Source organism: Homo sapiens, chromosome 20, assembly GCF_000001405.40.
Source record: "Homo sapiens chromosome 20, GRCh38.p14 Primary Assembly".
NCBI classification, from domain to species: Eukaryota; Metazoa; Chordata; class Mammalia; order Primates; family Hominidae; genus Homo; species Homo sapiens.
In genome coordinates this window covers 32921867-32946900 of record NC_000020.11, presented here as the reverse complement: position 1 = coordinate 32946900, position 25034 = coordinate 32921867, and the positions used below count along the sequence as shown (strand labels likewise).

The following is a 25034-nucleotide window of genomic DNA, read 5'->3' as shown; positions in this document are numbered from 1 at the left end:
TCACTCAGCTACATGTGTATGTTTCCATTTATGATAATCTGGAAAAGGCAAAACTATAGAGACAAACAGATCAATGGCTGCCAGGGGTTAGGAGAAGGAAATAGAGTTTACTATGAGGAGACATGAGGTCACTTTTTGGGGTAATGTCTATGTCTTGATTGTGATACCAATTACACAATTGTATGCATTCATGAAACCTCACAGAACTATATACTTTTAAAAGGTGCTTTTATTGGATGTAAATTATACTTCAGAAATCTGATTTTTAAAACAAGCTTCTAAAAGATAACACTAGATATTATATTTAGGGGATAGTCAAAGACGTCTTTGAAAGATACAAAAAAATGGGTGACATCAGCAAGATGGTAGAATAGGAAGATCCAGAACTTCCTTCTCCCTATGGAGACACTGACTGAACAACAGTACATGGACCAGAAACCAGGACCATTCATCCCAGATGAATGAAAAAACAAACAAACAAAAACCAAAAAAACAAAAAACAAAAAACCAGCTGCACTGAAGCCAGTAGGAAAATTCATAGTGCTCACTTGTAATCCCTCCTCCTGGCTCAGTGAAGCAGATTGGGAAGGAACCACCAGCTTCCAGCTTCTCCCTGGGAGGGAAAGACTGAGATGTACATCCAACATGCAGACTTTTCAGAGGGCTGCATGATTAACCAGTTTCTGTCTTGCCTGAATCTAAGCACTGACAGGAAGAGGCACCAGACTGGGCTACTAAGAACAAAGGTGACAATTTAGACTAGCACACACTATCAGAGTCCCTCCTGCCGCTCTGTGGAATGAGTAGAGAAAACAACCCAACTTCCAGCTTCTCCTTGAGGAGGCAGATTTGGAGCATACATATCCAATGTTAGCCTTTGAGGGGTACCCAAGAAACTGGTTTCTGTCTTGCCTCTCTCAGACTATTGAAGGACCCAGCATATTCTAGAGGCCTGGGGGAAGCTTGTAGCCGCTCTAGAGAACTTGCAGTACTGCAAATAGACACCAGAGAGAGCAAGAGATAATGGACTCCTGAAAAAAATAAACCTGTAGATTCCTGTAATTGCGAATTTACATGCGTAAGTCTGGTGAAAGTATCCACAAAAAAGATTGGGGAGGCACCCAGAATCTTTAGCCAAGCTGATTGGTGCAGAATTTTCCCTGAATGAAGCCAGTATATAAAGACTGGGAGAGGTGGCTGATTTTACAAATGCATGGATCCCAATATAAAGTTATAAGGCACACAAAAAAAATAGGAAAGCATGGCCCAAAGGAACAAAATAAATCTCCAGAAACTGCCGCTAAAGAAATTGAGGTATATTAATTATTTGACAAAGAATTCTAAGTAACCGTAATAAAAATGCTCAACAAGCTCAGGGAAACAATACATGAACAAACTGAGAATATTAGTGAAGACACAGAAAATATAGAAAAGAACCAAACAGAGGCCAGCCATGGTGGCCCACACCTATAATCCCAACACTTTGGGAAGCTTAGGTGGGCGATCACTTGAGCTCAAGAATTCAAGGCCAGCCTGGGCAACATGGTGAAACTCTGTCTCTACAAAAAATACAAAAAATTAGCCAGGCATGATGGCATGCACCTGTAGTCCCAGCTACTCAGGAGGCTGTGGGAAGATCACTTGAGGCTGGGAGGTCAAGGCTTCAGTGAGCTGAATTCGTGCCACTGCACTCAACCCTGGGTGGCAGAGCAAGACCCTGTCTCAAAAAATAATAATAATAATAATAAAAATAACAGAAATTCTAGAGCTGAAGATGAAGAGTAAAATAATTGAATTCAAAAGTCATCTACAGCAGGCTTGATCAAGCAGAAGGAAAAATCAGCAGACTTGAAGATATCCAGTCAGAGAAGCAAAAAAGAAAAAAGAATTTTAAAGAGTAAAGAAAACTTAAGGGATTTATGAGACATCGTCAAATGGACAATATATGCATTATGGTAGTACTAGAAGGAGGAGAGAGAGACAGAGAGAGAGAAAGGGACAAAAAGCTTATCTGAATAAATAATGGCTGAAAATGTTTCAAATCTTAAAAAGGAAAAGAAACCTATATTCAAGAAGCTCAAGGGATTCCAACTAGGATAAAGTCAAAGAAATCCACAAGGAGACACATTATAAAAAGAACAAAAACTCTCATCCAAAAATACTATATCCAGGAAAGCTGTCCTTTAAAAATGAAGGAAAAATAAAAATTTTCCCAGATAAATAAAAACAAGAGGAGTTCATCACCATTAGACCTGCCTTTAAAGAAATGCTAAAGGGACCCCTTCAAGTTGAAACAAAAGGATGCTAGGCAGGAACATGAAAGCATATGAAAATACAAAGCTTTCTGATAAATGTAAACACATAGAAAAATACAGAATGCTGTAATACTGTAATAGTGGCACATAAGTCACTTTATTTTTATTATTATTTTTTTTTTAGACAGAGTCTCACTCTGTTGCCCAGGCTGGAGTGCAGTGACATGATCTCAGCTCACTGCAACCTCTGCCTCCCAGGTTCAAACGATTCTCCTGCCTCAGCCTCTCAAGTAGCTGGGATTACAGGCATGCACCACCATGCCTGGCTAATTTTTGTATTTTTAGTAGAGACAGGTCACTAAAACAAACAAACAAACACATAGGAAGACAGCACAGGAGGAAAAGGGGACAAAAAAGTGTTGGGATTACAGTAGTGAGCCACCGCGCCTGGCCCTAATTATTTCTTGACATGAACGGTGGCTATATGGGTATGTATTTACTTTCTCAAAATTCACCAAGCTGAACCCTTCTGGTTTGTATGTTTTTCTTTATATACAATGCAACAATTAAGTTTATTTTTTAAAAGAGAAAGGAATATGCTTTATCAGATATATGATTTGCAAAAATATACATAGGTGAATAATATTGGGTGGATGGGTGAATGGATGGACCGTTTGCTGAATGGATAATTGGACAGACTGTAATATTATTTAAGTGAAGGCAGTTGCTGTGGCCTGAGAGTCCCTCCCCACAGAGTACAAAGTTCATACCAGCTTATGTTCAGACAGGGACAGAGACAAGAAGGGCCATGGGCATGGCTGAGCTTCAGCAGGACCCATACCAATGGCATCACCGGAGAGTTTCCAAGCCTTGACGTCCCGGTCCTGGCCAGCGCTGATAACCAGCTGGAAGTTGTCCACATACAGGATGTCTGCCACACTATTCAAATGGCCTTTCCAGGTCATCAGGAGCGTGGGGGGAACCAGGGAAATGGTATGGCCAGCCACAACCTATAGGGGACAGTACAGGAGAAACACTTTTACCAAGACCACTACACAGGCTAATTAGAAGGCACCCAGGACTGCAGGCAGCAGAGCCCAGTTGGAAGGGCCCTGGGACACAGGCTAGCGTTCTAGTTCTAGATGCATTCCACATGAACTTGCTTGCGACCTTACATAGGTCCCGGCACTTCTCTGGCCCTCACTGGCCCCTTAGGTAAAACCATAAAAAGAACTTGCATTTACTTTCTCAAAATTCACCAAGCTGACTACATATGACTTGCATATGACTTGCATATGACTACATTGTTTACCAAGTGCCTCTGTACACATTATTCCATTTGAACCTCACAACCTTATAAGAAGTATATAATTCTCACTGACTTACAGAGGAGAAAAGTGAGAGTCAGACATGTTCAATAACTAGCCTAAGCCCACATAGCTAGAAAGTGATGGGGCCAGGGCAAGAGCCTCAGTCTTCTAAAGTTTTTCAGCTGGGTATTGGGAGATGAATAGGGTGAGCAATGGGGTGATAAATCACATTACACTGAGAGAATAAAACTACTGAACTGGAAAATGAGTGAAAATGACCATTTTTAAATAAAACAAGATTAATAAAGGAGGACTTATTCGACCATATTCAAGTATGGAAAGTCAGAATAATAAACTTTAAATTTTAAACAAAGCAATGGAAGACAATAGAAAGCTCAGAAACCAACCCAAATGTATGTAAAACTGGTATATAGTAAGAGTGGTAACAGAAAACATGACTCAATAAACAGTAGTAGGATACCTGATGAACTATAAGAGAAACCTACGTTGTTATCTTTTATCTTACACCCAAATGAATACTAGATGCGTTGAAGATTTTATTTTCAATGAAATCATAAAACACCTACAAAAGAACGAATCAGTATTTATCTTTTCTCTAAGAAAGTGATAAACAGGCAAAGGAAAATATCACAATGGGGACAAAAACTGACTTGAACACCAAAAAATATATTGTAATTTTTAAGTCATCATAAATAAAATTAACAAGCAAATGACAAATTGGGGGGGATATTTGTAATCCATATGATAGACAATCAGTTAATCTTTTAATATATTTTTATTGGTTTTTTTTTTTAGAGATGGGGTCTCACTATGTTGCCCAGGCTGGTCTCGAACTGTTAGGCTCAAGCAATCTGCCCACCTTGGCCTCCCAGAGAGCTGGGATTACAGGCATGATCTACCATGCCCAACCTAATGTATTTTTAAATAATTATACAACATTTATAAAAGATAGTTACCACAATAGAAAAGTAGGCAAAGGACATGAAGAGACAATTCATAAAGTTATACAAAGCCAATAGATTAAGAAAATATGTCAACATCACTAATAAACAAAGGCATCTTAATTAAAATCAAAAGAAACCATTTGCACCTAAAAATCAACCAAAAATGTTTTGCTCACTTAGGACATTTATTTATTGAATGCCTTCTATAAGAAAGACACTCTGATAGACCTAGAGGATCCTCAGATGAATACCACTAATAAATTCTTTAGGTTGTCAAAGATAAAAAAAACAGGCTAATGAAATGCAAAACTGTATAAACCTTCTAGAGTGCAATTTTGTAGTATACATTAAAGGCCTTAAAGTGACTTATGTTCTTTTACATACTCTTTCCTTGGGACAAATTACTAGATGTACAAATAAACAACTATAAACAACAACAAAAAACATTTGTGAAAAAGAATATTTGTACCATCATTTTTAGTAATATCTAAACACAACTTTATTGAATCATAATTCACATAAAAATTTACCAATTTAAAGTGCTCATTCAATGGTTTTTAGTATTTTCAGAGCTGTGCAACCACCACCACATTCTATTTTAGACCATTTCATCACCCCAGAAAGAAACTCTTTACCCAGTAGTCACTACGCAATTTCCCCAACTCCCTCCCCCAGCCTCAGGAAACCACTAATCTACTTTAATATGGACATTCTGGACATGTCATTTAAGCAGAATCACACAATATATGGTATTTTGTGGTTGGCTTCTTTCACTTAGCACAGTATTTTCAAGGTTCATCCATGTTGTTGCATGCATCAGTACTTTATTCCTTTTTATTATTAAATAACATTCCATTGTATCACCATACCACACTTTATCCATTTGGAAGTTGACATTTGGGTTGTTTCCACTTTTGTATTATAAATAATGCTACTATAAACATTCATGTACAAGATTTTATGTGAACATATGTTTTCATTTCTCTTGGGTATACACTTGGGAGTGGAACTGTTGGGTAATATGGTAAGTCTACACTTAATTTTTGAGGAACTGCCAGACTGTTTTCCAAAGTGACTGCAGCTTTCTATGTTCTTTTTCTTTTTTTTTTTTTAAACAGAGTTTGGAGTTTTGCTCTTGTTGCCCAGACTGGAACGCAATGGCATGATCTCTGCTCACTGCAACCTCCGCCTCCCAGGTTCAAGCGATTCTCCTGCCTCAGCCTCCCGAGTAGCTGGGATTACAGGCACCCGCCATCATGCCCTGCTAATTTTTGTATGTTTAGTAGAGACGGGGTTACACCATGCTGGCCAGGCTGGTCTCAAACTCCTGACCTCATAATCCGCCCACCTCAGCCTCCCAAAGTGCTGGGATTACAGGCCTGAGCCACCGTACCTGGCCAGCTTTCTACATTCTATCCAGCAATGTGTAAGAGTCCCAGTTTGTCCACATCCCAGCCAACCATTGCTATTATCTATAGTTATCCTGGCAAGTGTAAAGTGGGATCTCATTATAGTTTTAATATGCATTTCCCTGATAGCTAATGATGTTCACCATCATTTAATATACTTATTAGCCATTTGTACATCTTCTTTGAAGAAATGTTTATTTAGATCCTTTACCCGTATCTTAATTTGGTTATTTATCATTTTTATCAAGTTGCAAGAGTGCTTTATATATTCTGGATACTAGTCCCTTATCAGATATATGATTTGCAAGTATTTTCTTTCAGGTTACCCTTTCACTTTCTTGACGGTATCCTTTGCAGCCCAAAAGTTTTTAATTTTGACAAAGTCCAATTTATCTGTTTTTTTCTTTTGTAGCTTGTTTTTGGTGTCATATCTAAGACACACTGTCTAAGGTCACAAGTATTTTCCATTTATTTTCTTCTAAAAGTCTTATAATTTTGGCTCTTACATTTAGGTCTATGATCCATTTGGAGTTAATTTTTGTATGTGTTATGAGGTAGGAGTCTAACTTCATTCTTCTAATACAGATAAAGTTATCCCTATTGTCCCAGCAGGACATGTTTTAAAAAATATATTATTTCTCCCCATTTGATTGTCTCAGCATTCTTGTCAAAAATCAATTGATCATAATGTGAGAATTTATTTTTTAACTCTAAATTCTATTCCATTGATTTACATGTCTTTCTTTATGCCAGTATCACATTGTCTTGATTACTTAACTTCATATTCAGTTTTGAACTTGGGAATTGTGAGTCCTTCAACTCTGTTCTTTCTCAAGATTTTTTTCTTACTATCTATATCCCTTGTATCTCCAAAAAGCAAGGAAGGAAGGAAGGAAGGAAGGAAGGAAGGAAGGAAGGAAGGAAGGAAGGAAGGAAGGGAGGGAGGGAGGGAGGGAGGCAGGCAGGCAGGCAGGCACAGTGGCTCATGCCTGTAATCGTAGCACTTTGGGAGGCTGAGGCGAGTGGATCACCTGAGGTCAGGAGTTCGAGACCAGCTTGGCCAACATGGCAAAACCCCATCTCTACTGAAAATACAAAAATTAGCCAGGCATGGTGGCGGGCACCTGTAATCCCAGCTACTCGGGAGGCTGAGGCAGGAGAATCGCTTGAATCTGGGAGGCGGAGGTTGCAGTGAACCGAGGTGGCGCCACTGCACTCCAGCCTGGGTACCAGAGCAAGACTCTGTCAAATAGAAGAAAAAAAAAAGAGAGAGAGAGAAGGAAGGAAGGGAGAAAAAAAGAAAAAGAGAGACAGAGAGAGAAAGGAGGGAGGAAGGGAGGGAGAAAAGGAGGGAAGGAAGGAAGAAAAGAAAGCCAGCCCGCCAGGCGAGGTGGCTCATGCCTGCAATCCAAGCACTTTGAGAGGCCAAGGCAGGCGGACCACAAAGTCAGGAGTTTGAGACCAGCGTGACCAATACAGTGAAACCCCGTCTCTACTAAAAATACAAAAAAATTAGTCAGGCATGGTGGCACATGCCTGTAGTCCCAGCTACTTGGGAGGCTGAGGCAGGAAAATCGTTTGAACCTGGGAGGCGGAGGTTGCAGTGAGCTGAGATTGCACCACTGCACTCCAGCCTGGGCGACAGAGCAAGACTCTGTCAAAAAACAAAAAACAAAAAAAAAAAGGAGAGAGAGAGAGAGAATATGGAAGGAAGGAAGGCAGGGAGGGAGGGAAAGAGAGAGAGAGAGAGAGAGAGAGGAAAGAAAGAAAGAAAGAAAGAAAGAAAGAAAGAAAGAAAGAAAGAAAGAAAGAAAGAAAGAAAGAAAGAAAGAAAGAGAAAGAAAGAGAGAAAGAAAGGAAGGAAGGAAAAGAAAAAAGAAAGAAGTTGGGGAGAGAGAAAGAAAGAAAGAGAGAAACGAAGGAAGGAAGGAGGGAGGGAGGGAGGGAAGGAGGGAAGGAGGGAAGGAAGGAAGGAAGGGAAGGAAAAGAAAGAAAAAGAAAGGAAGGAAGGAAGGGAGGGAGGGAAGGAAGAAAAGAAAAGAAAAAGAAAAGGGAAGAGAAAAGAGAAGAGAAAGCAGCTGGGATTTTGATATAAATTGCATTAAATCAATTTGGGGAATATGCTATATTAACAACATCCAGTCTTCCAATCAATGAACATGAGATGTATTTCCATTTATTTGGGTATTCTTTCATCTCTTCCCATAATGTTATGCAATTTTCAGGAATCAAGTTTTGCACTACTTTTCCAAATTTATTCCTAAGTATTTTTTTGATGCGATTATAAGTGAAATTTTTAAATTTTCATTTTCAGATTGTTTATTGCTAGTGTATATAAATATATTGGTTTTGTATATTTATATCAAGCAACCCTATTGAATTTATTAGTTTTAATAGTTTTTAATAAATTATTTAGGATTTTCTAGATATAAGATTATGTCATCTGCAGATAGAGATAGTTAACTTCTTCCTCCCCAATATAGATACTTTTTATTTCATTTTCTTGCCTAACTGACCTCCCAATAAAATGTTAAATTGGGGTGGCAAGAGTAACCATTCTTGTTTTATTTCTGATTTTACAGGAAAGTATTTAATATTTCAACATGAAGTTTTATGCTACCTGTGAGTTTTCATAAATGGCTTTTATCAGGTTGAAGGAGTTTCTATTTCTAGTTTATTGGGTGTTTCAATCAGAAAACGGTGTTCAATTTTGTTAAATGCTCTTTTTGCATCTATTGGCATAATCATATGGCTTTTGTTTTTTATTCAGTTAATATGGTGTATTACATTAATTGATTTTGGATATTTAGCCAACTTTGCATTCCTGGGATAAATCTTACTTGGTCATGGTGTATAATCATTTTCATATGTTGTTGGTTTCAATTTGCTAGTATTTTGAAGATTTTTGTATCTATATTCATAAAAATATTTGGTCTACAGTTTTATTTTCCTGTGATATCTTTATCTGGTTTTGGTATCAAGGTAATACTGGCCTCATAGAGAACTCTTTTGGAAGAGTTTGTGAGCAATTGACATTAATTCTTTAGCCAGGTGTGGTGGCTCACGCCTGTAATCCCAGCACTTTGGGAGGCCATGGTGGGCGGATCACGAGGTTGGGAGTTCGAGACCAGCCTAGCCAATGTGGTGAAACCCTGTCTCTACTAAAAATACAAAAATTAGCCAGGCATGGTGGTGCATGCCTGTAATCCCAGCTACTCGGGAGGCTGAGGCAGGAGAATCACTTGAACCCCGGAGGCAGAGGTTGCAGTGAGTCAAGATCACACCATTGTACTCCAGCCTGGGCAATAGAGTGAGACTCTGTCTCAACAAAAAAAAAGAAAAATCTTTAAATATTTGGTAGAATTTACCAGTGAAACCATCTGAATGTGTACTTCTCTTTGTGGGAAATTTTATTACTAATCCAATCTCCTTACTTGTTACATTCAGATTTTCTATATATTCAGATTTTCTATTTCTTATTAAGTCAGCTTTAGTAGTTTGTGTCTTTCTGAGGTTTTGTCCATTTTCTTTTATTTTTTGATAATGAAAAGTTAGAAACCACATTAATGTCCAACAAAAGATAACAAGCTAAGTAAGTGATTATAACCCCATAAAATGAAAATTTGTAACTCCATAAGGTGAAATATTATTTAATCAACAGAAAGTGTGGTTTTCAGCTAGGTGCAGTGGGCAGTGGCTCATGCTTCTAATACCAGCACTTTGGGAGGCCGAGGCAGTCGGATCACCTGAGGTCTGGAGTTCGAGACCAGCCTGACCAACATGGAGAAACCCTGTCTCTACTAAAAATACAAAATTAGCCAGGTATTTTAAAATAAAATAAAATGCTTAATTTTATTACAAATAAAATAAATACAATATAAAATTAAATACAAAATTAGCCAGGTATTTTAAAATAAAATAAAATACTTAGGGGTAAATTTAACCAAGAAGTTAAAAGATCTGTACACTGGAAACTAAAACATTGTTTAAGAAAACACAAATAAATGGAAAGCTATCTTGTGTTGATAAATTAGAAGAATTAATATTATTAAAATATTCATACTACCCAAAGCAATCTACAGATTCAATGCAGTCCCTATCAAAATTCCAATGTCATTTCTTATAGAAATAAAACAATCCTTAAATTCATATGCAATCATAAAAGACCCTGGCTAGCCAAAACAATCTTGAGCAAAAAGAACAAAGCTAAAGACATCACAGTCCCTGATTTCAAAATATATTATAAAGCTAATATAATCAAAACAGTATGGTGCTGGCATAAAAATAGACACATCGACTAATGTAACAAGATAGAAAACCCAGAAATAAACCCATGCACTAATAGTCAATTGATTTTTGACAAAGGTGTTACTAATACATAATGGGGAAAAGACAGTCTTTTCAATAAACTGTACTAGGAAAATTGGATCCACATACAGAAGAATAAAATTGGATCCTTATCTCACACAGTATAAAAAATCAACTCAAAATGGATTAAAGTCTTAAATATAAGATCTGAGACTGTAAAACAACTAGAAGAATACCTAGAGGAAAGGCTCCATGACATTGATCTGAGCAATGGTTATTTAGCTATGACCCCAAAAGCACAGGTAATAAAAGCAAAAATAGGCCAGGCGCGGTGGCTCACACGTGTAATCCCAGCACTTTGGGAGGCTGAGTCAGGCGGATTGCCTGAGGTCAAGAGTTCAACACCAGCCTGGCCAACATGGTGAAATCCTGTCTCTACCAAAAAATACAAAAATTAGCTAGGCATGGTGGCACACGCCTATAATCCCAGCTACTCAGGAAGTTGGAGTAGGAGACTTCCTTGAACCTGGGAGGCAGAGGTTGCAGTGAGCTGAGATTGCACCACTGCACTCCAACCTGGGTGACAGAGCAAGACTCCGTTTCAAAAAAATAAAAAATAAAAATAAAAATAAAAATAAATAAAAGCAAAAATAGACAAATGGGATTTTAGACAAGATACAAAGCTTTTGGACAGAAAGGAAACAATGAACAAAGTAAAGAGATAACCCACAGAGTGACAGAAAATATATGTAAATCATACATCTGATAAGGGAGTAACATCCACAATAAATAAGAAACTCAAACAACTCAATAGCCAGAAAACGAATAACCCAATTAGAAAATGAGCAAAGTGGGCCAGGTGCACTCACTCTTGTAATCCCAGCACTTTGGGAGGCAAGGTGGGCAGATCACCTGAGGTCAGGAGTTCAAGACCAGCCTGACCAACATGGAGAAACCCCATCTCTACTAAAACTACAAAATTAGTTGGGCGTGGTGGCGCATGCCTGTAATCCCACCTACTTGGGAGGCTGAGGCAGGAGAATTGCTTGAACCTGGGAGGCGGAGGTTGTGGTGAGCTGCAATTGCGCCATTGCACTCCAGTCTGGGCAATAAGAGCAAAACTCCATCTCAAAATAAAATAAAATAGGCAAAGTGGCCAGGTGCAGTGGCTCATGCCTGTAATCCCAGCACTTTGGGAGGCCAAGGCGGGCAGATCACTTGAGGTCAGGAGTTCGGGACCAGCCTGACCAACAAGGTGACACCTCGTCTCTACTGAAAATACAAAATTAGCCGGGTGTGGTAGCCTGTGCCTGTAATCACAGCTACTCAGGAGGCTGAGGCGGGAGAATTGCTTGAACCCGGGAGGCGGGGGTTGCAGTGAGCCAAGATTGGATCAATGCACTCCAGCCCGGGCAACAAGAGCAAAACGCCATCTCAAAAAAAAAAAAAAAAAAAAAAAAAGAAAGAAAGAAAGAAAGAAAAGAGAAGAGAAGAGAAAATGGAGAAAGCATCCAAAGAGACATTTCTCAAAAGAAGACATTCAAATGGCCAACAGGTTCAAGAAAAAAAATGCTGAGCACCACTAATCATTAGGAAAAACAAATTAAACCACAATGAGATATCATCTTACATCTGTTAGATTAGATGTTATCAAAAAGACAAGAAACAAGTGTTGGTGAGGAGGCAGAAAAAAGAAAACCCTTGTACAATGTTGGAGGGAATGTAAATCAGTACAACCACTGTATTGGTCTGTTCTCATGCTGCTAATAAAGACATATCCGAGACTGGGTAATTTATAAAGTAAAGGTTTAATGGACTCACAGTTCCACATGGCTGGGGAGGCCTCACAATCATGGCAGAGGTGAAAGAGGAGCAAAGGCACGTCTTACATGGGAGCAGGCAAGAGAGCATGAGCAGGGGAACTGCCCTTTATAAAGCCATCATATCTCTTGAGACTTATTCACTATCATTAGAATGGTGGGAAAAACCCACCCCCACGATTCAATTACCTCCCACCAGGTCCCTCCCACGACAGCTGGGGATTATGAGAGCTACAATTCAAGATGAGATTTGTGTGGGGACACAACCAAACCATATCAACCACTACGAGAAATAGTATGGGGTTTCCTCAAAAAACTAAAATTAGAACTACTATATGATCTAGCAATTCCACTTCTGGGTATATATCCAAAAGAGATCAATATGTCATATCAATATGTCAAAGAAATACCTGCACTCCCATGTTCATTGCAGCACTTTTCACAATAGCCAAGATATAGAATCAACCTAAGGGGCCATCAGTGGATGAATGGATAATGCAAATGTGGTGTATATACATAATGGAATACTATTCAGCCTTAAAAGAGAAAAAAAATCCTGTCATTTGGGACAACATAGATTAATCTGGAAGACATTATGGTAAGTGAAATAAGCCAGTCATGAAAGAAAAATACTGCATGATTGTATTTATATATGGAATTATAAAAAGTCAAACTCATAGAAGTAGAAAGGGCTGGGCACGGTGGCTCACACCTGTAATCCCAGCACTTTGGGAGGTCAAGGCAGGAGGATTCCTTGAGCCCAGGAGTTCAAGACCAGCCTGGGCAACATAGACCTCATCTCTACAAAAAAAAAAAAAAAGTTTTTGATTTGCTTTGATTTGATTGATTGATTTTTTGAGACGGAGTCTCACTTTGTTGCCCAGGCTGAAGTGCAGTGGCGCAACCTCGGCTCACTGCAACCTCTGCCTCCCAGGTTCAAGTGATTTCTTGCCTCAGCCTCCAGAGTAGCTGGGATTACAGGCACGCATCACCATGCCTGGCTAATTTTGTATTTTTAGTAGGGACAAGGTTTCACCATGTGGGCCAGGCTGGTCTTGAACTCCTGACCTCAGGTGATCTGCCCGCCTCGGCCTCCCAAAGTACTGGGATTACAGGCTTGAGCCACTGAGCCCGGCCAAAAAGAGGTTTTTAAAAAGAAGTAGAAAGGAGAATGATGGTTACCAGAGGCTTAGAGGGTGGGGTGGGGAATAAGGGAGAGAGAATGGGAAGTTATTGGTCAAAGGGGTACCAAGTTTTGGTCAGACAGGAGGAAAAAGTTTTGAGATCTTCTGCACAGCAGAGTGACTATAGTCAGTAATATATTGCATACTTCAACATAACTAAGAGTAAATTTTAAATGTCTCACCATAAAAATTGTAAGTGAGGTGGTAGATATGTTAATTGGCTTGATTTAATCATTCCACATGTGTACATAGATCAAAACAGCACACTGTGCCTCAGAAATGTCTACAATTATGATTTATCTATTTGAAACAATAAAATTTTTAAAGAAAAAAGAATACTTGATGGTATAGGAAATTCCAGTTACATACAATATAATCCCAATTGTTTAAAATATATCATTATAAAACTAAGAGCAGATGGTCAGGAACACAGATTCTGGAGTCAGACAGACTTAGGTTTAGTCTCAGGTCTACACTGGTTGCTACTGGAGCTTAGACGAGTCTCTCAGCTCTTCAGTTTCATTACTTCCTCATCTGAAAAACATCATCTCCCTCACAAGTCATTATGGAGATTAATGAATGCATATATAATATACTATCACCATCCCTGGAACATTGCAAGCAGTAAATAAATATTATTATGATGATGATTGTATCAACATTATAAATTCTTCACATACTGACACTGTGGGTAATCAGTTCCCAAGACATTTTAATATAATGACATTCTCTTCATACTAAAACGAACTAGCCATAACATACTCATGTAGAGATTCAAAAGGCACATAAGACTGCAAGAAGGCTATCAAAATTGCAAATGCATGTAACCCTTTTACCTAGCAATCCCACTTCCAAGAACATCTCCTACAGAAATGCCTTCACATATGTGAAATAACATTCACTATTCACTTTTGTGTAAGATTTTTTTAAAGACAAATTTACCTTAAAATGGGATAGTGCTGCTATGCAAAGGTCTCCAAGATATATCATACAGCAAGAAAAGCAAGATGAGTACCAGTATAAGTGAAATGATACCTTCAGTAGAAAATAACTTTACACATCGTGTTTGCATAAGTAAACACCAGAGGAATAACCAAAAATCAACACACGTGGTTACTTCAGGGAGCATGAACTGTTTGGGGGAACAGGAATGGGACTTAGACTCTTCGCTGTAAGCCTTTTTACGTTACCTGACTTTTTAAAACTTTCATTGATGTATGATATACACATAGAAAATCGTATATAAGTGTAGTACTGAATAATTTTTTTTTTTGAGACAGAGTCACACGCTGTCGCCCAGGCTGGAGGGCAACGGAGCAATCTAGGCTCACTGCAACCTCCACCTCCCGGGTTCAAGTGATTCTTGTGCCTCAGCCTCCCAAGTAGCTGGGATTACAGGCGTGCACCGCCACACCCAGCTGATTTTTGTATTTTTAGTAGACAGGGTTTCACCAGGTTGGCCAGGCTGGTCTCAAACTCCTGACCTCAGATGATCCACCAGCCTTGGCCTCCCAAAGTGCTGGGATTACAGGCATGAGCCACCGTGCCCGGCCCACCACTGAATAAATTTTTAGAAACTGAATACAACTGCATGATCAGGCCCGTTAATGAAGCAGAGCACTGCCAACCTCTCCAGAAGTCCCCTTCATGATTCCTTCCAGCCTCTCCACTCCCCCAACAAAAACAATCATTTCTAATATATGTTCTTCTGGGTCTGACTTCTTTTGCCTAAATTGTTTGAAGAGTTCTCCATTTTGTAGTGAGTAAATTCACTTCTGGTGCCAGATATTACACTGTAATTTATTTGTAATTTATTTTCCAGTCTACGGTGATGGGCATTTGAGTTGTTTCTAATGTGGCATTATTACGAATACTAACTCTTTTTCTTTTTTGAAACGAAGTCTTGCTCTGTCGCCCAGGCTGGAATGCAATGGCGCGATCTCAGCTCACTACAACCTCTGCCTTCTAGGTTCAAGCGATTCTCCTGCCTCAGCCTCCTGAGTAGCTGGGATTACAAGGAGTGCACCACCACACTCGGCTAATTTTTGTATTTTTAGTAGAGACAGGGTTTCACCATGTTGGTCAGGCTGGTCTCAAACTCCTGACCTCGTGATCCACCCGCCTCAGCCTCCCAAAGTGCTGGGATTACAGGCGTGGGCCACCACGACTGGCCACGAATACTAATTCTATCAATATTTTTGCTCTTATCTTTTAGTAAGTGTATTTCTCTTGGGTATGAGTTAGTTTATGGTCCTAGCTCATTTGTGGGGCTCAAAGGCACTTTCCTGAGCAACTCTCCAGTAATCCTCCTACCTCTTTATCCTCCAAGGGAATGTAGTGTGGGAAGTTGGTCCCAAGTTGCTGAGGAATTAACAACCGGAACTTGTTGTGTGCTTCAGAGACAACCTTGGCCCCACTGGATTGGAATGGCTGTTTATCAATCAATGCGCAGTAATCCTTGATGTCCCAGATCTAGACATAAAGTGTGGGTTAGTGGCCTCACACCCCTTGACCCAGACCCCAACTCACTCTGCGGGCTCCTCCCAGACCATTCCTCTTCATTTGGTGGGGGTGGGGGGCAGTTCTTACTTACATCTCTGAGATACCTCACCACTAGGGCCAGAAAGGGCCTTAGGGATCTTCTAGGCCATACTCCTGGATTAGCAGGCAGGAAGGGTGTGACCGGCTCAAGGACAGCACACCCCTGCCTCATGTCTTGCCACAAGGCACACAATCAGCTCCTGAGACAGCTGATCCTAGATTAGCCACATGACTTCGGGATGAGGGAGTTGGAGAAGACAGTGATGGAGCACGGAATTCTCCAGGGAAGGCTTCTCAGAGGGGCTTTTTGAACCAAGACCCGCTCCTGTCACTGGGCTTAGCAGAGCAGGAGAGGACTCCTCGCTGCATTGTTTCACAAATGGAACCAGTACCCAGACAGAGTAGGAACTAGGCAAGGGCCATGTGAGCAAAGAGATGGCCGAACACTTAGCTGGCACCAGCCCCTCAATCTTCCTGCCAGTTCTTCCTCACCTTGATGTATCCTTTACAATCCCCCGTGATGAGGATCCAGTCATTTTTATCAGTGGCCATGGCACCCACGACAACATCCCCATTGTCTAGGTCCACAGGGAACTTCCCCAGCAGGCCTCCATTCTCATGGAGGGACCAGGCGTAGATGTAGCCGTCCATGCAGCTGCTCAGCAGGGCAGCCGTGTGCGGCAGGCGAGGCCTGGTCTGCAGGAAGATTATCTGAGGAAGAGAGGAGGGCCCGGCTCAGCAGGGCTGTGAGCCACTGTCACATGGTGCTGAGGGACCTCAGCAAGTCACCACACCCACCTGGTCCCCCAGTTTCCTAGATGCCCAGTGAAAGTGGTGATGGTGGTCCCACCCTTCCTCCCCAGCTGGTGACAAGGAACGTCATACTCGACTATGAACTACTAGAGGGCAGGGATTTTGCGTCTTTTTTGTTCACTACTTTGTCCTTAGTAACCACAATGGTGCCTGACACATAATACATGATCAATAAATGTTTATCAAATGAAGGCTTACAAGTTTGATTCGACATAGGCTCAGACAAGATTTTCACAACCTGTAACTCAACCCAAAGTGATGTGGGGAAGGAACTCATTCCCCTTCATGTATATCTATAGTGAAATATCCATATTTTCCAGCCAATCATCAAGAAAGCATTTTAAACAAATTCTTGTTCAAGACTTGTTTTGATCATGCCCTTTGCTAATTCCTCACTCTGCTCACTTTTCCCTTACATGTCACACCTGTGGCCCATGTGGGGGCCACAGTGGGAAGTTACTCTGCATGGCAAGCATGAGAAGAAAGTTTCTTGCCTGGCACCCAGCAGGAGGCTGAGAGCATAGTGAGGGTGGTAGAGCAAATCAGGCCAGAAGGGGGAAATTGGAAGCTTCCTCACTCCTGCTCAGAACTTTACAGTGTAATAGCTTATGTGTCCCCAAAACATGTCACCAACAACAAAAATCTCGATTATCAAAAATCTCATGGTGGCTCATACCTGTAATCCTAGCACTTTGGGAGGCCGAGGCGGGTGAATCACTTGAGCCCAGGAGATCGAGACAGCCTGTGCAACATAGTGAGACCCTATCTCTATTTAAAGAAAAAAAAAAAAAAACAGAAGGGAAGAGAAGCGGAGGGGAGGGGAGGGGAGGGGAGGGAAGGGAGAAAAAAGAAAAGAAAGAAAAGAAAAGAAAGAAAAAAATCTCAATTATCCTTATTGTTGTAGAAATCCGAAATTAGTTGTTCAACCTGCTTCCCACTGGCCCCGGTGCCAGGGTCAAAAACCAGAAGTCCCTTGTGCCCAAAGCTTGATGGCTTCACCAGTGAATTCTACCAAACATTTAAGGAAGAATGAATGCCAATCCTTCCCAAACTTTTCCAGAATACTGAAGAGGAGATAACACTTCCTAACTCATTCTATGAGGCCAGCATTACCCTGATATCAAAGTCAGACAAAGACATTATAAGAAAAAAAAAAAGACTACAGAGAAATATCCCTTATGAACACTGATATTTAAAAATTATCAAAAAAATTAGCAAACTGCATTCAGTAGCATATTAAAAGGATTATATACCATGACCAAGTGACTTTTATTCCTGGAATGCAAGGATGATTCAACATATAAAAATCAATAAATATACCACCTTCACAAAAAAAGAAAAAAACCCACACGATCATCTTAATTGATGCAGAAAACGATTTGACAAAATTAAAAAAAAAAAATAGGAATAGAAGGACATTACCTAAACATAATAAAAGCCATATATGAAAAACCCACAATGAATATCACACTCAATAGTAAAAGACTGAAAGCTTTTCCTCTGGAATTAGGAACAAGGCAAGAATGTCCACTTTTGCCACTTTTATTCAACAGAGTACTGGAAGTTCTGCCAGAGGGATTAGGCAAAAAAAGAAATAAAAGGTATCCAAACTGGAAAGAAAGAAGTAAAATTATAAGTTTGCAGATGATATTATCTTATATGTAGAAAACGCTAAAGCTCCCACACCAAAAAAAAGGGGCTAACAAATGAATTCAGCAAAATGGCAGGATACAAAGTCAACACATAAAAATCAGTCGCATTGGCTGGGTGCGGTGGCTCATGCCTGTAATCCCAGCACTTTGGGAGGCTGAGGCAGGTGGATCATGAGGTCAAGAGTTCGAGACCAGCCTGGTCAACATGGTGAAAGCCCGTCTCTACTAAAAAATACAAATATTAGCCAGGTGTGGTGGCATGCACCTGTAATCCCAGCTACCCATGAGGCTGAGGCAGGAAAATCACTTGAACCTGGGAGGCAGAGGGTGCAGTGAGCCGAGATCGTGCCATTGTACTCCAGCCTGGGCGACAGAGCAAGACTCTGTCTCAAAAAAAAAAAAATAAAAAATCAGTTGCATTTCTATACACTAACGTTGAACAATCTGAAAAGGAAATTACAAAAATAATTCCATTGACAATAGTGTCAAAAAAAGAGTAAAATACTTGGGAATTAATCAAAGAGGACATTATGCTAAGTGACATAAGCCAGTTACCAAAAGACAAACATATGATTCCACTTGCATGAGGTAGAATAGTCAAAATCATAAAGACAGAAAGTAGAATGGGGGTTTCCAGGGTTTGGAGGGAGAGGGGAGTGGGAGTTATTTTTTAATGGGTATAGTTTCAATTTAACAAGATGAATGGATAGTGGTGATGGCTGCACATTATGAATATATTTACTACCACTGAACCATACACTTAAAAATGGTTTCAATGGTAAATTTTATGTTATGTGTATTTCACTACAAGAAAAATTTTTTGAAAAAAAGAAAAAACAGGAATCCCTGAACCAAAGACAAAGGGCAAGCATTTCCCCCACTTTATGCAAGTGCTCACTGTACAAAATGTGGGCAGCATAGACATATGAAAGGAAATTAAAATCACCTACAAAATCCCAGTACCCAGAAATAATCACCATTAAGACTTTAATGTATTTTGGCCAGGCATGGTGGCTCTCGCCTCTAATCCCAGCATTTTGGGAAGCCAAGGCGGGTGGATCACCTGAGGTCAGGAGTTCAAGACCAGCCTGACCAACATGGTGAAACCCTGTCTCCACTAAAAATACAAAAATCAGCTGGGCATGGTGGCGGGCACCTTTAATCCCAGCTACTCGGGAGGCTGAGGCAGAAGAATTGCTGGTACTTGGGAGGCGGAGGTTGCAGTGAACCAAGATCACGTCACTGCACTCCAGCCTGGGAGACAGAGTGAGACTCTGTCTCAAAAAAATTTTAAATTAAATAAATAAATAAATAAACAAATCATGGTGAATCCAAAGAAATACACTGCAGCCAGTGGCAGATTTACTCGTGAAGTTCATGAAGCTCAAGGCTAAGTTCAAGTTTAAGTTCAAGGTTCTAGGAAAGAACTGGTAAGTTCTGGTGACTTTTGTAATTGTCAGATTTATAAGTTTTGAAATTTGTTGACACTTTTTTCTCATTCTAAATAAATATTCACTTTTGTACCTAATTTTTTATAATTTTGTGCATTTTTCTTGCAAAAGTTTTAGGCTCCAAAAAACCTAGATAGGTCCCTATATAAAGCTATTAAAAAGAATGAAGTGGTATACCCAAAGGACTATAAATCATGCTGCTATAAAGACACATGCACACGTATGTTTATTGCGGCATTATTCACAATAGCAAAGACTTGGAACCAACCCAAATGTCCAACAATGATAGACTGGATTAAGAAAATGTGGCACATATACACCATGGAATACTATGCAGCCATAAAAAATGATGAGTTCATGTCCTTTGTAGGGACATGGATGAAATTGGAAATCATCATTCTCAGTAAACTATCGCAAGAACAAAAAACCAAACACCGCATATTCTCACTCATAGGTGGGAATTGAACAATGAGAACACATGGACACAGGAAGGGGAACATCACACTCTGGGGACTGTTGTGGGGTCGGGGGAGGGGGGAGGGATAGCATTGGGAGATATACCTAATGCTAAATGACGAGTTAGTGGGTGCAGCGCACCAGCATGGCACATGTATACATATGTAACTAACCTGCACATTGTGCACATGTACCCTAAAACTTAAAGTATAATAAAAAAAAAAAGAATGAAGTGGATAGATTATTATGTGCTGAGAGGAAAAACTGTCCACCACAAATTGCAAGGTTTGAAAAAAAAAAAAAAGCAAACAGCTAAATAAACAATAGTTTCAAACGTTCTCAGTTTTGTTTGAAAAATCAAAACCATAAAAAAAAATTTAACGTGCACACAACTTTCACAGTAGTCATTAACTGTCATTTTAAAGGATGTGCTTTAAATTTTGTCATAAGCACATTCCAATGATTAAGTATTTTTCTAAAATGTGGTTCCTCATAACTGCACAGGATTCACCAAAGTGATGCACCACAAAGTTCTCCCATGTCTGAACTGGGGAAAAGCTGAGGCATCCTTCCCAGCCATTCCTTTGCCAGCCCTGGGACGGTGAGAGCAGGTAGGGTGAAGGTGAATGAGCGCCCAGGACTTCAGCAGGACTGGAGAGGGGCGGCCTGCTGAGAGCACAGGGTCAACTGCGTAGCCAGCATCCGGTGCTCACAGTGAGAAAAGCACAGTCAGAATGGTGGCCCTAGGCAGGACAGAGCCGTGTGGCTGCGAGGGACAGGTAACCAACACTATTCCTTTTGCACTCTGCATCCAGCCCCATCCAATACATTGCCCTGCTCATTTTGGAAAGAGCTGCTGGACTGAAGGTGAGCATTTCAGTCTCACTCAGCCCAGGAATCCCAGATAGTATCTCAACCACAGCGGGTTAATGGCCTCCCTGTGGGTCCCTTCAGAAGGAGCCATGGCAAGCTACTCACGGGCTAAACTTCATGTAACTTGGAGCAATTTTCTACTGCGTGCCATCTGGTCCTTCCCTACTGGGGAGATGGCCAGGGGCAAGTGCTTCATCTAAAGACTGTCAGGGGCTGGGCGCCGTGGCTCACGCCTGTAATCCCAACACTTTGGGAGGCTGAGGCAGGAGGATCACTTGAGGCCAGGAGTTCGAGACAAGCCTGGACAACATGGCAAAACCCCGTCTCCACTAAAAACCCAAAATTAGCTAGGCGTGGTGGCTTACGCCTGTAATGCCAGCACTTTGGAAAGCTGAGGCAAGAGGATCACTTAAGGTCAGGAGTTCAAGACCAGCCTGGACAACATGGTGAAACCCTGTCTCCATTAAAAACACAAAATTAGCCAGGTGTGGTGGCACACACCTGTAATCCCAGCTACTCAGGAGGTTGAGGCACGAGAATCACTTGAACCCAGGAGACAGAGGTGGCAGTGAGCTGAGATCACGCCACTGCACTCCAGCCTGGACAACAGAGTGAGACTCCATCTCAAAAATAAATAAATAAGTAAAATTAAAAATAAAGACTGTCAGGGACACAGCTGGGCCTGGATCTGCATCCTGGACTCCTTCCTAGTGCTCTTTCTGCCATGCCTCACAGTCTTCTGGGATGGCCAGACAGAAATAATGGGAAGGAAGACCCAACAGGTAAGACCCCCACCCACTCCCTGTCTGGTGTCCTTACCCCAGCCCACCCAAGCCTCTCTTCCACTAAGGAAAGGCTGAGATCAGAGATGACCCAAGCACTCTGGACCCTCTCCAGGGCACCACCCTAAAATGCTTCACTGTGCCCACAAGTGCCCCAGAGAGAAGGGACCCTGCTCCTCAAGGAGTGGTGCGGGTGGGAGACAGTACATCTTGAAGCCAGGGGTGAGGGTCAGCATCCAGAGGGGACACACACACACACACAGCCCTGCCAGCCACAGTGCCTCAAATCTCACCAATAGACATTCAATCTTTTGCATGCAATTCTGTGGCCAAAAATTCAATCAAGATTCATGATACAAATCCTTATTACACACAGATCACCAGGCCACGTAAAAAGCCCAAGGAATTCCCAACAGTGGCAGCACAAAAACTTAAAAGAACTTGAACTTTGAAAACAAATAGACCTAGAATCAGGCCCTGGCTCTGCCATTTTCTGGCCATAAGAATCTTGGGCAAGTCACTTCACCTCATTGGGCCTGTTTCTTCAGCCATAAAATGGGAATAATAATAATAGTACATTCTTTTCAGATGTATTAAACATTCTTTTCACATACATTCTTTTCAGATGTATTAAATAAATAAAAATCCCTCATAAATAAATAATAATAGTACATACTTCCCAGGGCTGTTTGATGGACAAAATAAAAACAACACATGTAGCTGGGCATGGTGGCTTATGCCTGTAATCCCAGCACTTTGGGAGGCCAAGGCAGGAGGATCGCTTGAGCCCAGAAGGTCAAGACTAGCCTGGGCAACATAAGGAGACTCCATCTCTATAAATATATATTTTTTTAATGAGCCAGGCACAGTAGCACACACCTGTGGTCCCAGCTATTAATACTCAGAAGGCTGAGGTGGGAGAATCGCTTGAGCCTGGGAAGTGGAGGCTACAATGAGCTGTGATTGTGCCACTGCACTCCAGCCTGGACAAGAGAGCTGAGATTCTGTCTCAAAAAACAAAAAATAACACATGTAAACCATTAAGTTCATTGTCTGGCAGATATTGAGAGCTCAATAATTACTAGCTACCACTGAAACATAATGCAAGATAGCAAAAGCTTTCCAGGAGTATGTTTCTAATCCTAGAGTTTTATATCTGGAAATAGACAAGAGATCCAAAATTTATGTACAAGGGTATTCATTGCAATGCTTTCTATAGAGGCAAAACCCAGCGGCAGCAGATAGCTATACAGACTCTGTGCAGTGTACCCAGGACATGATGTGACTAGTAAAAGGAATGCCATGGCTCCGTAAACACCGTCATGAAGAGATGCCCGTGAGGAGTCAAGTGAAAAACAGCAAGTCCCGGAATAATACATGCAATATGATATTATCCAGTGAAAAATATCTAGATTTATATATATACATTCATACATGTATGTACTTGTATATGCACAAAAAAATTCTAGAAGGCTACAACACATGTCTTAACGTAATTACCTCTGGAGGCTGAGGAGGGAGACAGCCATTCTTTTACTTTATACACTCGTATAAAGTTTCATTTTTTTTCATAGGTGGTGGTGGTGGTGTTGTTTTGGAGGCGAATCTCACTGTGTCACCCAGGCTGGAGTGCAGTGGCACGATCTCAGCTCACTGCAACCTCCGCCTCCCGGGTTCAATCAATTCTCCTGCCTCTGCCTCCCGACTAGCTGGGACTACAGGAGTATGCTGCCACCCCTGGCTAATTTTTTGTATTTTAGTAGAGACGGGGTTTCACCGTGTTGCCCAGGCTGGTTTCGAACTCCTGAGCTCAGGCAATCTGCCCACCTCAGCCTCCCAAAGTGCTAGGATTACAGGTGTGAGCCATCGCACTGGGCCAGGTTTGTTTGTTTGTTTAAGAGACAAGGTCTAGCTGTGTTGCCCAGGCTGGAGTGCAGTGGCACAATCACAGCTCACTGCATCCTTGACCTCCCAGACTCAAGTGATTCTCCCAACTCAGCCTCCCAAGGAGCTGGGTGCACCGTGCACACTATCAAACCTGGCTAATTTTTTTAATTTTTTGTAGAGATGAGGTCTCATCATGTTGCCCAAGCTGGTCTAGAACTCCTGGGCTCAAGCAGTCCTCCCACTTTGGCCTCCTAAAGGACTGGGATTACAGATGTGAGCCACTGCTCTTGGCCTGAATTTTTTTAGTTTTAATTAAGGACATGTATCACTTTCTAATTAGAGGAAGAAAGTATCAGAGAGAGATACAGAGAGAGAGAGAGAAGTACTCATTCTCGAACATTCCATGCCAGCTCTCCCATGTGGGCCCTTGCACCTACCTTCTCTGCCTGCATCACCCTCCTTCCAAATAACTGCAGGCCATGTTTCCTCGCTTCCTTCAGGCTCTATGCAGATGCCACCTCCTCTGTGAAGCCCTCCCTGACCAGCCTATTCATAAAACAGCAATGCCATCTCCTCCCATGTCTGTTCTCCCTGCCATCTTCCCGGCTTTCTTGTCCTCCATTGTCCTCACTCACTCTGTGACATGCCCTTTATTTTATTTGCTGGTTAATTGTCTATCTTGCCCCAACTAGAATGACAGCTCCAGAGGTCAGGGGCTTGATATCTTTCATTCACTGCTCCTTCCCCAGCGGCTGGCATGTAGCGAATGCCTGTGTCCTGACAGCACTAGGTCACTAGCCCAAAAGATCAAGCTTTGAGCCATCTACCTTGACTTCACAGATTTAAAGAGATGGGATCTGTTGGCAATTCTGTTTCCAAGAATCCGTCCTCTCAATATACTCACACTAGTGCCCAGAAATGTACGTGCAAGAATGTTCAATGCAGTGCTGCTCCTAAAAGCTAAAAACTGGAACTAACCCACAGACCTATTCATAGAGGACCAGCTTCACAGTTCCTGATGCATCCAAGTTATGCAGCAGTGGGCAGTTGTTAAAAAGAATAAGATGGCCAGGTGTGGTGGCTAATGCCTGTAATCCCAGCACTTTGGGAAGCCGAGGCCAGTGGATCACCTGAGGTCAGGAGTTCAAGACCAGCCTGGCCAACATGGTGAAACCCCGACTCTACTAGAAATAAAAAAGCAGCTGGGCATGGTGGCACATGCTTATGGTCCCAGCTACTCTGGAGGCTGAGGCAGGAGAATCACTTGAACTCAGGACGCAGAGGTGCAGTGAGCTGATATCGCAACACTGCACGCCAGCCTGGGTGAC

At 41.3% G+C, this 25034-nt stretch overlaps 1 protein-coding gene across 7 annotated transcripts in view; it reads right to left on the bottom strand.

The window, feature by feature from the left end:
- EFCAB8 (EF-hand calcium binding domain 8) overlaps positions 1-25034 on the bottom strand; it is a 102923-nt gene that overhangs the window by 14945 nt on the left and 62944 nt on the right. For 5 of the 7 annotated variants that reach the window (NM_001143967.2, XM_024451881.1, XM_024451886.1 and 2 more), the window contains 3 exons: positions 16285-16503; positions 15565-15723; positions 3097-3265 (listed from right to left, as the gene is read on the bottom strand). In NM_001143967.2, coding sequence (NP_001137439.1) covers positions 3097-3265; positions 15565-15723; positions 16285-16503 — 547 coding nt within the window. Of the gene's footprint in view, positions 1-213; positions 614-3096; positions 3266-15564; positions 15724-16284; positions 16504-25034 lie in introns of those variants that run through there. The other 2 variants (XM_024451882.2, XM_024451883.2) reach the window with 2 other exon arrangements.